The following is a 17063-nucleotide window of genomic DNA, read 5'->3' as shown; positions in this document are numbered from 1 at the left end:
GATACATACAATGTGGTACATGAACACCAGAGAATACTAAATAATCATAAAAAAGAACAAAATCATGTCTATTATAGCAACATGGATGCAACTAGAGGTCATTATCCTAAACAAAATAATGCAAAAATGGAAAACCCAAATACTGCATGTTTTCAGTTATAAGTGGGAACTAAACATTTAATACACGTGGACACAAAAAATGAAATGATAGACATCAAGCCCTACTTCAGGTAGAGGCTGGTGGGAGGATGAGGATCAAAAAACTCCCTATCAAGTACTATGCTCAATAGCTGGATGATTAAATAATTTATGCACTAAATCCCAGTGGCACACAATTTCCTCATGTAACAAACCTGCACATGTACCCCTGAAAATAAAATAAAACATGGAAAATAGGTGAAATTCATGAAATCTTAGAAAAAGAATTCAAAACATTTTTTTCCACTACCACAGTCTCTCATAAGCTCTTTTTTTAAAAAGCTTTTATTTTAAGCTCAGGGGTACATGTGCAGGTTTGTTACATAGGTAAACTTGTGTCATGGGGTTTTGTTGTACAGATTATTTCATCACCCAAGTATTAAGCCTAGTACTCATTACTTAGTTTTCCTGATCCTCTGCCTGCTCTGACCCTTCATCTTTCCAAAGGTGCCAGTGTGTATTGTTGTTCCCCTGTATGTGTCCATGTGTTCCTATCATTTAGCTCCCACTTATAAATGAGAACATTCAGTTTTCTGTTTGTGCATTAGTTTGCTAAGGATAATGACCTCCAGCTCCATCCATGTTCTTGCAAAGTATATAATCTCGTTCTTTTTTATGACTGCATAGTATTCCATGGTGTATATTTACCACATTTTCTTTATCCAGTCTATCACTGATCAGTCTATCACTGATTGGCATTTAGGTTGCTTCTATGTCTTTGTTATTGTGAATAGTGCTTCAGTGAACATAAATGTAATATAATATATTATATATAATATTATAATATATATAATATTATATATAATATATTATATATATAATATATATTATATAATAATTTATATAATATAATTTATATTCCTTTGTGTATATGCTGAGTAATGTGATTGCTGGGTTGAATGGTATTTCTGTCTTTAGGTCTTTGAGGAATCGCCAGAGCATCTTCCACAATGATTGAACTAATTTACACTCCCACCAATGGTGTATAAGCATTTGCTTATATACCACAACCTCCCTAGCATCTGTTATTTTTTGACTTTTTATTAATAGCCTATCTGACAGGTGTGAGATTGTAACTCATTGTGGTTTTGATTTGCATTTCTCTAATAATCAGTGATGTTGAGCTGTTTTTTATATAATTGTTGGCCCCATGTATGTCTTCTTTTGAAAAGTGTCTGTTTGTGTCTTTTGCCCACTTTTTACTGGTGTATTAGTCAGAATGTTCTAGAGGGACAGAACTAATGGAAAATATATATTTTTTCATTGTAATATGTATAATACATATTATATAGTTCATTATAATATATATAATATATATATAAAGTGGAGTTTATTAAGTATTAACTCACATGATCACAAGGTCCCACAGCAGGCCATCTGCAGGCTGAGGATCAGGGAGAGCCAGTCTGAGTTCCAAAACTGAAGAACTTTGAGTCCAATGTTCGAGGGCAGGAAGCATCCAGCATGGGAGAAAGGTGGAGTCTAGGAGGCTAGGCCAGTCTCACCTTTTCAAGTTTTTCTGCCTGCTTTATATTCGCTGGCAGCTGATTAGACTGTGTGCACCAGATTAAGGGTGGGTTTGTCTTCTCCAGCCCACTGAATCAGATGTTCATCTCCTTTAGCAACACCCTCACAGACACATCCAGGAACAATACATTGCATCCTTCAATACAATCAAGTTGACCTTCAGTATTAACCATCACGAATCGGTTGTTTGATTTTTTCTTGTGAATTTGTTTAAGTTCTTTGTAGATGATGGATGTTAGACCTTTGTCAGATGCATAGTTTGCAAACATTTTCTTCTATTCTGTAGTTTATCTATTTACTCTGTTGACAGTTTACTTTGCTGTGCAGAAGCTCTTTAGTTTAATTAGATCCCATTTGTCAATTTTTGCTTTTGTTGTGATTGCTTTTGCTGTGTTTGTCATGAAGTCTTTGCCCATGCCTTTGTCCAAAATAGTATTGCCTAGGTTGCCTTCCAGGCTTTTTAGTTTTGGGTTTTATATTTAAGTCTTTAATCTCTCTTGAGTTAATTTTTGGATATGGTGAAGAAAGGGCTTCAGTTTCAATCTTCTGCATATGGCTACCCAGTTATCACAGCATCATTTATTAAACAGCGAATTCTTTTCCCATTGCTTTTTTTGTCATGTTTGTTGAAGATCAGAGGGTTGTTGGTGTACAGTTATACTTCTTCGTTATCTGTTCTGTTCCATTGGTCTATGTGTTTGTTTTTGTACTAGTACCATGCTGTTTTGGTTACTGTAGCCTTGTAGTATAGTTTGAAGTCACATAGTATGATGCCTCCAGCTTTGTTCTTTTGCTTACAATTGCCTTGGCTACTGGGGCTCCTTTTCATTTCATATGAATTTTAAAATAGGGTTTCTAGTTCTGTGAAGAATTTCAGTGGTAGTCTAATAGAATAGCATTAAATCTATACATTGCTTTCTGGAGTATGGCCATTTTTACAATATTGATTCTTCGTATGCATGAGAATTGAATATTTTTTCATTTGTTTGTGTTATCTCTGATTTCTTTGAGAAGAGTTTTGTAGTTCTCCTTGGAGAGATCTTTTACTTTCCTAATTTCCTGTATTCCTAGATAACTTTTTCTTTTTGTGACAATTGTGAATGGGAGTTTGTTCCTGATTTGGCTCACAGCTTGACTGTTGGTGTATAAAAATGCTAGTATTTATCCACATTGATTTTATATACTGAGACTATGCAGAAGTTATTTAAGAGCTTAAGAAGCTTTAGGGCTGAGACTATTTGGTTTTCTAGATTTAATACCATGTTGTCTGCTATCAGGGATAGTTTGGCTTTCTCTTTTCCTATTTGGATGCCTTTCTTTCTTTCTTTTGCCTGATAGCCCTGGCCAGAACATCCAATAATACATTGAATAGTAGTGGAGAGAGAGGGCACCCTTATCTTGTGCCAGTTTTCAAAGGGGATGCTTCCAGCTTTTGCTGATTAAGTATGATGTTGCCTGTAGGTTTGTCATAGATGGCTCTTATTTTTGGAGGTATGTTCCTTCAATCCACAGTTTGTTGAGAGTTTTTAACATGAATTGATGTTGAATTTTATGGAAAGCCTTTTCTTCATCTATTGAGATAATTATGTGGTTTTTGTCTTTAATTATGTTTATGTGATAAATCACATTGGTTTGCATATGTTGAACCAAATTTGCATCCCAGGGATAAAGCCTACTTTATTGTATTGAATAAGCTTTTTGTTGTTCTGCTGGATTTAGTTTGCCAGCATTTTGCTGAGGATTTTTGCATCAATGTTCATTAAGGTTATTGACCTGAAGTCTTGTTGTTGCCATTGTATCTTTGTCAGGTTTTGGTATCAGAATGATGCTGGCCTCAAAGAATGAGTTAGGGAAGAGTCCTTCCTCCTCAATTATTTTGAGTAGGTTAGTAAAAATGGTACCAGCTCTTCTTTGTGCATCTGGTAGAATTCAGCTGTGAATCTGTGTGGTCATATAATTTTTTTCTTTTTTGGTTAGTAGTCTATTACTGCCTCAATTTTAGAGCTTGTTATTGGTCTGTTCAGAGATTCAATTTTTCCTTGTTTAGTCTTGGGAGGGTGTATGTGTCCAGGAATTGACCTATTTCTTATATACTTTCTAGTTTATGTGTGTAGAGGTGTTCATAATATTTTCTGATGATTGTTTGTATATCTGTGAAGTCAGTGGTGATATCCCCTTTGTCATTTCTGTTCGTGTTCATTTGAACCGTCTCTCTTTTCTTCTTTATTAGTCTAGCTAGTGGTCTATTTTAATTTTTTCAGAAAACCAGATGCTAGATTCATTGATTAAGACTGGTTTGTCATGTCTCAATCTCCTTCAGTTTAGCTCTGATTTTTGTTATCTCACAACTGGATATTTATCCAAAGGAAAATAAATCAATATATCAAAGAAATATATGCATTTGCATATTTATTGCAGAACTACTCACAATAGCAAATATGAATTCAACCTAAGTATCTATCAACAGATGAATCAATAAATTAAATGCAGTATATATAAACAATGGAATACTATTCAGCCATAAAAAATAATGAAATCATGTCATTTACAGCAACATAGATGGAACTGGAGTTTATTATGTTAAGTGAAATAAACCAGGCATACAAAGACAAATATCACATATTTTCACTCATAAGCGGGAGCTACAATACTTGGTATTATGGATACAGAGAACAGAATGATAGATACCAGAGACTGAGAAGAGTAGGTGGCTGAGAGTGGGAGGATGAAGAGAATTTGGTTACTGGGTATGAATATATAGTTAGATAGAAGAAATAACTTCTAATGTTTGAAATCAGCATATGTTAACTATAGTAAGCAACAATATTTTGTATTTTTCAAAGTAACTAGAGGAGAGGACTTGAATTTATACCAACACATAGAAATGATAAATACTCAAGGTGATGGGTACCCCAAATGACCTGACTTCATCATTACACATTCTATGCATGTAACAAACACTCATGTGTACCTCACAAATATGTAAAATATTATCTATCAATAAAAGAAAAAATAAACAAAGAACAGGTTTTGTAATAAGACGGTGGAGAGGGCTAGACAGAAGGGAAAGTTTAAGAGAAGGGTGAGGAAGGAGGAAGAAAGAAAAAACGCAATATTGTCAATGTAAAAGTTTAATAACCACAAGTAAATCAATATTGCCAAAGAAGAGGATATTATAATGAGTGTAAAGCAAAGGCACAATGAACACATTTGTTGAAATGTACAAATTGCCAAAATAGAATGGAGAGAAATAGAAAATCTGATGACACTATAACATATATAGATAACTTGATTCTCCACTTAAAAAGTTTCCACAGGTCAGAACAATTCCTAGAGAGTGCTCCTGGAGCATAATAAGAAATCCACATGGAACAGGTAAACACAACCATACATTTTTTTAAAAAATGTTTATTGTTGAAATAAAACTAGAGGTGGTATAGGAGATAAAAATATCAAGGGAAATATTAATCCTAAACAGAGATGGAAATATAAATTAAATATTAGCATTCCAGGAATGCTGTGTTGATCCAAATGTAAAAATTAATTGTCTATGAATCTTTGTGTGTAATTTCTTATATTTAGTTAGATGTCAACAATCAATCCTGATTAAAAACAAAACTAAACAAAACAAAAACAAGAAACACCATGTTTCGGCAGGATGTAAAGTGAACAAACTCGTATATACTACTAGTTGTATGGTCGCTTGGTATAATTATGTTAGAAAAGTTAGCATGCACTTACTCTTCAACACAGAAAGTTTACGTTCAGGACTTAACCTAGAGAAATGCTTGTGCTTTGAGCCAGGAGGCATGTAGAGAAATATTCACAGATTTGTTCATAGATGTTTAAAAAATAAAAAAAAACTAAATGCCCAACAACTATAGAATGGATAAATATAAATTGTTATAGTGGTATAAATGAGCTTTATTTGCATAAAAAGTTAAGGAAGTACAACTACGCTTATCAAAATGAAATTTGGATGAAATAGAAATATCTGTGAAATAATGAAAAACAAATAATAAAAATAAAACAAATATTGGGCAAAAAAGCATAGAAATAAATGCCTTTTTAAAAGGTTTTAAAACTTGGAAAACTGAATAATATTAATGCATATGCCACATATATATATGTGTGTGTATATTTGGCAAAACTATTAAAATAAGTAAAAAAAAAATTTACACAAAAATTGGGAAAATGGTTACCAAAAGCATGAAGAAGTAGGTGAACCCATGTGGGACACCTATGGTTTTGGTAATAATGTTCTCTCTCAAGTTAGAGGGCATGAGTACAAGACTTTTATTTTTCTTAAACTGTTTATCTCCATTATATGCTGCATTTAGAAAGTTGTATTTCACAAAATGAATTTTTTAAACTGATTTTAGCTAATATTTTGGAATCAAGGGCATCTAGGTTTTAGCAATTTAACAACCTAAGAAATAAGCCAATGTTGTACGTAAGAGATTCTGTCATTTTCAGAATAAACAGAAATACAGGGGGAAAAAAATAAGACTGTGGATTATCCATTCAGGCTTATAAAAGATATTATCAAAATTATTGTTTCATTTTTCTTTTTGATATTTAATTCTACCTTTCTTTTTGATTGGGAGATAAAAGTGCCTGGCAGATAATTAGTGGAAAAGTTCAAATTTTATTCCATTGAGCCCAAAGTCTTTTAGTATTTATGTCATTTAATGCATTTCTTGTAACATTATAAATGTCTGAAGCACTTTGTAAAGCTCAATTAGTGTCATAGTTATAAAATCATTGTTAACTACTAAAACTATTAGTTGATGTGTTCTTTGATAAATTTTCCTCAAAGTTATATCCATTTAAACTTTTAGTTAATCATATGTAAATGAAGCAAGGCTTAAACTTAACAGAATTGCTGTATAAAAGTTAATCAAAATTAAAAAATTTCTTACAATTTTTATTACAAAATTTATTTATGTGAATGTTGTGAGAAATGTTACTCAAAATGCTGTATAGGTCAGATCAAAATATATCTTACTGGCCTATTCATTAAAAAAAAAAAAGAAAGAAAGAAAAGGAAAAGAAAACTCCTTAATTCAGATTAGTTTTATATGTACAGGATTTTGAAGAGTCTAACATAAAAATTAGAAAACTCATAAAACCTCAGTAAAATATATCTAAAAACTTACATATTTTATCTTCAGTATACTTTCTCTGTAAAGGGCAAATAATATGTATGTTAGGTTTCATACATATGTGGTCTTTGTCACAACCCTGAACTCTGCCCTTATAGCTCAAAAGCAGCCATGGACAATACACAAACTAATGGGTGTGACTATTAGTGTTCTAATAAAACTTTATTTATAACAACAGGTAGCTGCCTGCTCTTGCAGGCCTTCATTTGCTAAATTATGTTGTGGACTTTAATTAGCATGTTTAGTTTTTAATACAATTATAAAGATGATAAAGTTCCGTTGTGGACTTTATTTAGCATGTTTAGTTTTTAATACAATTATAAAGAGGATAAAGTTCCTTTGTGTCCCAAGTATCTTTTTTGACTTTACACTTGTTTTCTGGTTTGTTTCTCAAAATCACTTTTCTTTACTGAAAACTCTTCTGTTTAGGTTATACTAATTGTAGCCCTGATTACTTAGCTTAAGAGCCTCCAATCCACTGTACCTGATTTCAGGCCTATTCCTTTTCCCTTATTTCAGCTACAGTAATATATTTCCAAACACAACATTCATCAAATCTCTCTACATCTTAGTATACTTCATGGTGTCTTGTTGCTTTTTTTTTTTTTTATTGAGACGGAGTCTCGCTCTGTCACCCAGGCTGGAGTGCAGTGGCACAATCTTGGCTCATTGCAACCTCCACCTCCTGGATTCAAGTGATTCTCCTGCCTCAGCTTCCTGAGTAGCTGGGACTACAGGTTCCTGCCACCACATCCGGCTAATTTTTCTTTTTTCTTTTTTTTGTATTTTTTGTAGAGACGCGCTTTCACTACATTGGCCAGGATGGTCTCCATCTCTTGATCTGGTGATCTGCTCACCTTGGCCTCCCAAAGAGCTGGGATTGCAGGCATGAGCCACAGCACCTGGCTGTTGCTTATATTATAATTATGTACCAATGTTCTTTTGTTTAAAATAATAGTTGATGATGATGGTGAGGATGATGATGATGATGATGATGATATCTGAATGCAATACTCATGTGATCCTTAAGATTAATATAAAACTTAATTATTGAAATTTAATGTGTTAAACGTTTAAAATTAAAGGCCAAATGAATGATCAAAGTTTGATGAGTTTGTAATTACCTTGAATTAATGACATTAATTATTGTTCTAATAATACTGTATATTGGCTTATGAGGTATATTCATGAATTATATAATATAAAAGTATTTTTGGATATTTCCAAATATGTGCAGTTGAAAATCGTGATTCTAACATTTTTGTGTGAACAAATGATTTAATATGTATGTATTTATAATTTGCCATACCCTCAACATGTGAACAAGAATAAGTTAAGTAATGTAAGGAAAAACATGGATTTCCACTTCAGGTATTAGGAACATGGCAAGGTCTGGGTGAGTCTGGGGTTTTCTTAAGTATCTATGTTTGTTCCATGCCCATTTCTGTTGGAGTGTATGTCACTGCAAAAGGAATCAATATGTTCACATGTCATGAATGTTTTGGAATGCCTGTTAACATAACACTTACTTTATAAAATGCAATTCTTATTTTCATGAATGAGCATTCTAAGAAATGTACAAGCCATCTCCTTTAACCAATGAAAAAATTATTTCCTGGGAGGTCCCATTATGTACCTTAGAACTTGTAAATAATTTTAAAAAATCTAGAAATAGATGTCCAGTCCAAACACCTATGAATTGAAATAAATTGATAGTTATTTCTAATTTTCTCATTATATTTTGTTTTACATTAATAAAAAATGTAAAATATTTTCTTCCAAGTCAATGGATTTTCATCATTCTTAAATGACACATCCAAGACAAATGTCTATATACAAAAAAAAAAGGTTTGATCTTCACTTGATGAAGTTATGTCAGGAGTTGTTTAATTTTAGAACAAATTGAGGTGCTAAAGAATAAATACGTTGCTTTATGTGACAAACTGAAGTTTAACTCTGATGATCCCATAGCTAATTTTAAAGTAATCTTGTCACAATATTGCATTAATTTGGAAGTATACTGGATGTTGGATGCTAAGGATTGCTTAAAAGCCAAGCAATGTATTCCTAATTAACGAGATGTGGATTCTATTTGTTTTTATTGAAATAATATCTGTTTTGAATACCATTATTATAATCTCTACTGAGACATGCAATAAAATTCTACTGCAGGGCCAGGCATGGTGGCTTACACCTGTAATCCCAGCACTTTGGGAGGCCAAGGCGGGTGGATCACCTGAGCTCAGGAGTTTGAGACCAGCCTGGCCAACATGGTGAAACCCCATCTCTACTAAAAATACAAAAATTAGCCAGGCATGGTGGTGCATGCCTGTAATACCAGCTACTAGAGGGGCTAAGGCAGGAGGATTGCTTGAACCTGAGAGGCAGAGGTTGCACTGAGCCAAGATCATGCCATTGCACTCCAGCCTGGGCAATGGAGCAAGATTCTGTCTCAAAAAAAAAAATTATACTATAAATTATGATATAAAGAATATGATTATAAGGTACTCCACTTATACATTTCACAAAATATATTTCAGAACTAGTTCAACTTGGCATAAGTACTTAAAAGCCAAATTTAATAATGTAAATATATATAGATATTTCAATTATTATAAATATTCTAACAATATTGCTTATAATTTTCTTTAATTTGTGGGAGAAACACTTTATTAATTGGAATTTATAGGGCCATTTAAATAAAAGCTATAATATTGAATTCAATTAGAAGCATTAATTATTCAAAGTTTCTATTGGGGGAACCCACCCCCAGTATTTCAACATAGGTTCTTTCTATTTTCCGTAAGTGTCAGCTGGCTGAGAAATAAAGAGAGACAGTACAAAGAGAGGAATTTTACAGCTGGGCCGCCGGGGGTGATATCACATATCGATAGGACCGTGATGCCCGCCTGAGTCTCAGACCAGCAAGTTTTTATTAAGGGTTTCAAAAGGGGTGGGGGTGTAAGAACAGGGAGTAGGTACAAAGATCACATGCTTCAAAGGGCAAAAAGCAGAACTACTAATAAGGGTCTAACAAAGATCACATGCTTCTGAGGGAACAGGACAAAGGGCAAAAGCAGAACCACTGATAAGGGTCCATGTTCAGTGGTGCACGTATTGTCTTGATAAACATCTCAAACAACAGAACATAGGGTTTGAGAGCAGGGAACCGGTCTGACCACATATTTACCAGGGTGGAGTTTCCCAACCCTAGTAAGCCTGAGGGTTCTGCAGGAGACGAGGGCGTATCTCAGTCCTTATCTCAACTGCACAAGACAAACCATTCCCAGAGCAGCCATTTATAGACCTCCCCCAAGGAACACATTCCTTTCCCAGGGTACTAATATTCATATTCCTTGCTAGGAAAAGAATTTAGCAATATCTTTCCTACTTGCACATCCATTTATAGGCTCTCTGCAAGAAGAAAAATATGGCTCTTATTGCCCAACCCCACAGGCAGTCAGACCTTTTGGTTGTCTTCCCTTATTCCATAAAAATTTCTGTTATTCTGTTCTTTTCCAAGGTGCACTGATTTAATATTGTTCAAACACACGTTTTACAATCAATTTGTACAGTTAACACAATTATCACAGTGGTCCTGAGGTGACATACATCCTCTGCTTATGAAGATAACAGGATTAAGAGATTAAGTAAAGACAGGCATAAGAAATTATAAAAGTATTATTTGGGAACTGATAAATGTCCATATTAATGTGAAATCTTCACAATTTATGTTCTTCTGCCACAGCTCCAGCCGGTCTCTCCATTTGGGGTCTCTGACTTCCTGCAACAAGTTTCATAACATCAACAATGCTTGTCAATTGTATATGAGTACCAAAGTAATCTTATTCATTTTATTTATAAAAACTGTTAATATTTTTGAATATATATGCATACTGTACTTAATTTTTGACAATTTTCACTAAACTGGTCTTACATTAGACCTAAACTTGTAATTCTGGATTACTTTCAGTAATAGTAGTTTTAGTGTTAAATGAGCATATTATATGTTATCAGGAAGGAACAACACACAGTGTCATAAGTGGCTTTTTCTCCTTCAAACATGTAGAATATAATGACAGATAGGCAACTATGTAGGATAAACTAGTTGTAACATATCATGAGAAATGTCTTCTTCCCTTTGATTCCCTTGGGTAGGCTGTTGCTTATAAGATTGCCAGTATTAATAAAATGCCACATTCAGTCTATGTCCCTGAACTTTATTATTGAAGACTGTATTCCTATTGTTTTGTTCTCTTTTTTATACTTTTATTTAAGGTTCAAGGGTACATGTGCAAGTTTGTTTTAAACTTGCATCATCGGGGTTTGTTGTACAGATTATTTTGTCACCCCAGTACTAAGCCTAGTAACCAATAGTTATTTTTTCTGCTCCTCTACTTCCTTCCACCCTCCATCCTCTTTTAGGCCCCAGTTTCTGTTGCTCCCTTCTTTCTGTCCATGTGTTATCATTTAGCTCCCACTTACAAGTGAGAACATGCAGTATTAGGTTTTCTGTTCCTGCACTGGTTTGATAGGAATAATGGCCTCCTGCTTCATCCATGTTCCTGCCAAGGACATAATCTCGTTCTTTTTTTATGGCTTCATGGTATTCTATAGTGTATATGCACCACATTTTCTTCATCCAGTCTACCATTGAGGTCTTCTTTTGAGAAGTGTCTGTTCATGTCCTTTTTCCACCTTTTAATAGGGTTGTTTGTTTTTCTCTTGTAAATTTATTTAAGTTCCTTATAGATGCTGGATATTAGACCTTTGTTGGATGCATAGTTTGCAAATATTTTCTCCCATTCTGTAGGTTGTCTGTTTACTCTGTTGATAGTTACTTTTTCTGTACTTGATATTTATAAAAGTAAATATTTAAAAATATGAAGATCTTCTTGTTTTCTAATAAGCTCTATAGCAGTGAGCCAATAACCCTACAGGGGCAAGAACACCAAGGCAAAGCTCAGTTGCCCCTGGACAAGTCCGGCATCCTGGTTTTCTATGGACTAAATGCCCCCTAACATTTTCCAAACGCTTTTACATAAAAAAATTTAGATATTGGATTTTATATAAAATTATTGATTGTAATCCATTTTCTAACTAAAACCCTCAATTCTTAGTTTATGATCATATATCCATTTATGAAAAGTTAAGTACTTAAAAATCACTTTTTTATATTTGAGCAGCAAGAAGTTACTTTCTATTGCTAATTATGGCTTTTCACTTATCCCACTTTATATTATTGCATTTTTTTGAACATCCTCACAGAATTGTGAGCATTTGTAAATTGAAGTGTTTCTAAATGACTATAAATATTGTTTTCTATGTAAAACAAATTCACTAATTGGCAAGAGTGACCCACTCCAAACTTACTACCAGCAAATATAGATGAAAGTACCATGTATTCTCCCCAAATTAAGATGATCTCATGTCATCTCTAATTCTCTACCCCAAAACCCAAATGAGCCAATAATAAAATATTCTGAATTTTTAAATATTTTAAGTCTATTTTGTTTCAATTATACAAATTGTGATTTCTAGTGTTTAGAACTGCTAATTATTTTTCTATATTCATCTAGTATTCTTGCTTAACTAGCAGCCTTGCTTAACTTTCTTATTACTTTGACATGGGCAAGATTGTTCATTTGGAAGTTACCTTTGAAGAAAATGGGAAGAAGCCCCGGTTAGATTATATGTTTGTCTAAAACAGAGACAATATTATTTAAAACAACTATAATAACTCTCTTTGTGTGATTGTCTCATAATGGAGTTCCTGTATTTAACCTTTGTTCATTCCTTACAGGAGGAAAATAATTAGCATTTTATAATGATAATTTAGATATGTCTAAAACCATCTCCCATTGCTTTTCTTTTTTCTTCTTCTTTTTTATTCTTCCTCCCTTTTCTTGGTAAAATTTGAAAGTTTATTGATCATTATGTACATACACTAGAATTATCTAGTCCTAATAAATATTGAGAAATGTCTAAACAAAAATAAAAGTAAAATATAAACTGTGTAGAAAACTTCTTTTGTTTAAACCAAACTGGAACCTGTAATTGAGTTGATCAGCAATTGCTAACTAGTTAACAGATAAGAAGAACCTGAATTCCAATGAAAGAGGAAAAACTCTCAAAATAATATAAAAGTTTAGTTTATTTACCATAGGTTTATGATTTATATTTAAAGAATAGTTTCCTGTAATATCCCTGATGTAGAGAAGACTTTTTGGGCACATTAGTATTAATGTTAAAGATTTAAAGAAAAATATGTTAGACTTACCTACATTTAGTAAGTGAATATTTTATTTTTTTCAATTTCTTTTTCTAATTTTTTGCTTCAGAAACCTAGCAAATATACATAATAATATGTATGACAACGTTAATAGTACCATTACGTTTAACAGTAAACAATGGGAGAATACTAAGTGTGTATTGTAAGCTTAATTACATGCAGTTTACTCATTTAATGAAATCCTAATGAGCAATAAAAAGAAATAGGTTAGAGCCATTTGTTTAATAAGTTTATACATAGATGATTCTCACAGAGATAAGTATAAAATATTTTATACTCAAGAGGCAGAATAATTATACACATACACATTTACTTTTTGATAATCATTTACAGTATTATACCTAAGAAAATGTAAAGAGGTTTGAGTAGAATAATTTCTTCTAGCAATTACCTTTGGGAAGCTAAGATAATAATATAATTAGAAAGGAATACGTGGTATTGCTAATACTTTTTCTTACATTGTCTGTTGGATATAGATATGTTTGTTGTATTATACTTTACATCTTGTGCAGATCATAAGTATTATAAACTATGTTTTAAAATTAATGTCATTAGTTTTATTAAGTTTCTTGTAATATGGGTTGGCTTAACTGCAAATTACGTCTAAAACATTTCAAATGAATACAAAGTAAAATGTATAAAATGACAAAATTCAAAGCTCAAAAAATTTTAAGAAGGAAGAAGAGAAAGAAAAAAGGAAAAAGAGAGAGAGAGGCAGAGGAAATCATAAGGGGTTAAATAACAGTGTCCTCCTCATTAGTGACAAAAAGACAATTTAATACTTGAAAGGATTTTCTTAAGGGAAATCTTGCATGAAACAAACATGTTTAATTGGAATTGCCAGAATCAATGCAAGGGGATGTAACAGTTGCACTCTTGACAGAACCGAAATTGCAGAACTAAAGTTAAATTCCTTAGCTGTAAAACAGTGAAATGGTACAGTAGTAAGCCATTATGCAAAGCCTATGTTATTCTGAAGAAATGGAATGGGAAATTGGTGCCAAGGAAAAACTGGAAGGATCATTTCATACAATGTATTTTGGCTTTCAGCACTCCATTAAAATACTCCTGGGCCAGGTGCAGTGGCTCATGCCTGTAATCCCAACACTTTGGGAGGCCGAGGCAGGCGGATTACAAGGTCAAGAGATCAAGACCATCCTGACCAACACTGTGAAACCCATCTCTACTAAAAATACAAAAATTAGCTGGGCATGGTGGTGCATGCCTGTAGTCCCAGCTACTTGGGGTGCTGAGGCAGGAGAATCACTTGAACCCAGGAGGAAGAGCTTGCAGGGAGCTGAGATTGTGTCACTGCATTCCAGCCTGGAGACAGTGAGACTCTGTCAAAAAAAAAAAAAAAAAAAAAAAAAAGCCTTGCAGAAAACCTAAATAAAAGTACACATTTAAAAAAATTATATAAGCACTTTTAAAATAGAAAAAAATCAAACTCATGCATGAATACTTAAGATGATAATATAGAAGATCAGATAATATTGTGACTTCTGAATTCATATGGAATGACATGTATTACGATGAGTGTTGGTATGCAGTCATAGTTTTAACTACCCTCTGGTCTGATGTAAGAAAATTAAGATTTAGCTCCTGCATGCCCCAGAATTGAAAGTCTATATTAAAGGCATGAGAAAGCATGCCCTGTTGAACATTTGTTCTTCTTCATTGTAGCAACCACAAGAGGAAATTGAGATCCAAGGCATCTTTAAAATGAATGATGTGTACAATAGGAAAAATGGGGGATAGTTTTACTTCAGATTTTAAGTCCACACTAGGTATGATCTTAACAAACAGGTAACCTTAGGATTGAATTTTCTAGGATGAATGTGGTGTGTGTGTGTGTGTGTGTGTGTGTGTGCATTTAAAAATTGGACTTTAATTTTTAAAGTAACTTTGGAGATGGACTAAATGAATTTGACTTATGTTACATAAGAACAAATACAAATAAAAGAACCTTAATTCTCCCTATTGAAAGTATAGGAAGATATTTTTCCTTATCTTAGAGTATTTACTTTGGAAAAGTTGAATTTCTAAGTTATTCCCCTGTTTCTTGGAAATGCATGTAGATTTTGTAGAAAGCTAAATAAACCTCTTGCAAGCCTTAAGAATAAGGGTTGTCTTTCTCAAGTACCTGGGAACCATCACTTTGAAATGTCATAATCAAGGAAGATAGTGGCCCTACTCTTTCTGTCTGTGGGAAGGATGGAACCTAACTCTGACTGAGCTGGCCTTCAAGTTGCAAAACTAACTCTTGTCATAAAGATTTTAAAAAGTTTATTTTGGGGGCGATAAAGCCAAATAGCTAACACAGGTAGTAAGTGCAATTATCAAGTAAACAGAATAAACTATATGTGGCAAATGGCACTTTACGTAGTCTCATCTGAGAACTAGTTATTTATTGTTTATCTTGAGAACATGTATTTAATGAGTTGTATCTGCTTGGCTGTATAAAATGGTGAGATTTCTTTCTGTCTTTGCAATCTTTTAGTGGATTGCCTGAGATTCATATCACATTCTAGTTAAATGTTCATTTAATAATAAATTATTTTCTTTCTCTTCTCCCTTTGTGAAGAGGTTTTCTGTGTTGGAAGAGTATTTTGTTTTGTTTTTAATTATATTTCCTTAATAATTGCCACAATAGATTTGTTAAATCAAACTAAAATTTTGCCTGAAAAGGCTTCCATGCTCACATACTTGAGATCTTATGTACAAACCACAGCCTAACTTAGTAGGGCAGCAAACTAAAAACCTGATTTAGGAGAATGCTGCTGTAATAATAGTGGAGTCTTAGCCAATCACAGCAGCCATACTTCAACCACTCACAGATGGCCAAATGTTCAAACTGTGCTAAAATAAGTCAAATGCTGAGCTGTAACCAATCTTCCATTTTCTATATGTTACTTTACTTTTTCTATTAATAAATATTTGACCATGCGACAGTCCTGGGAGTCTATCTGAATCTATTCTGATTCTGGGACATGCCCGATTTGTGAATTTTTTTCTTTTCTTTTCTCTTGCTCAATTAAATTCTATTAAATGTAGTATTCCAACATTTTTCTTTTAACAGATTATATATTCTGAAATTATTTTAAAATCTTCAACAGTCAAATTTCTAATTCTAACAATTATTTTGAACATTGTGAATTAGACAAAATTTAATCATGACTTATTTTCTTATAATGCTACGGGCAATGATGTAGGAGGCACTTGTTATGAAGCCATCTGTCTTCTATGTAAATTCATCTTGTAAAATCCTCTAGTTTCTGAAAATTACAAAAATTTTTAAAGTAAATTATGTAACATTCTGAAAATCATTAATTATATTATTTAATCAGAAACTGCTAAATGTCCTTCTTTCACAATGCCTATGTCAAGAAAATAACTAGGTCCTAAGCTAACATGTCACTTTTTTGTTCTCAGGGTCTATTCAGAATGACCATAAACTGTTAAGATGCTACTCTCTATAATGCAGTAGCATTGTAGGCTGATGCTTAAATCATTATGTGTGTTTATCCTTCTAGGCATGAGCTGTCTGAAAGAAGGGTATTATTCCTAGTTATTGTTTGTGAGAATCTTGAGGGAAAGAGAATGAAAGAGCAGACATGAATATTCCATTATAGGCTGTCTCTCCAGTGTGCAGCCTCTTCCAGAGACTGACTGTATTAAAAATTATTTTAAAAAATGGAAAGGCAATGAATCTGGTTGATCAAACTCCATCTGAATATATTTTGGTTATTTATATTAAGGATATTCTGTCAAATACCAATGTAATATTAAATATCAAATTGCACATTAAAAAAGATTTGGACATGCTGACATTTTGGTTGTTCAACTCTCTTCAAATTATTTTTAAATGATTTACCCCATTT

This window comes from Homo sapiens, chromosome 6 (assembly GCF_000001405.40).
Source record: "Homo sapiens chromosome 6, GRCh38.p14 Primary Assembly".
Taxonomy (NCBI): domain Eukaryota; kingdom Metazoa; phylum Chordata; class Mammalia; order Primates; family Hominidae; genus Homo; species Homo sapiens.
Note: the sequence above shows the minus strand (reverse complement) of the source record.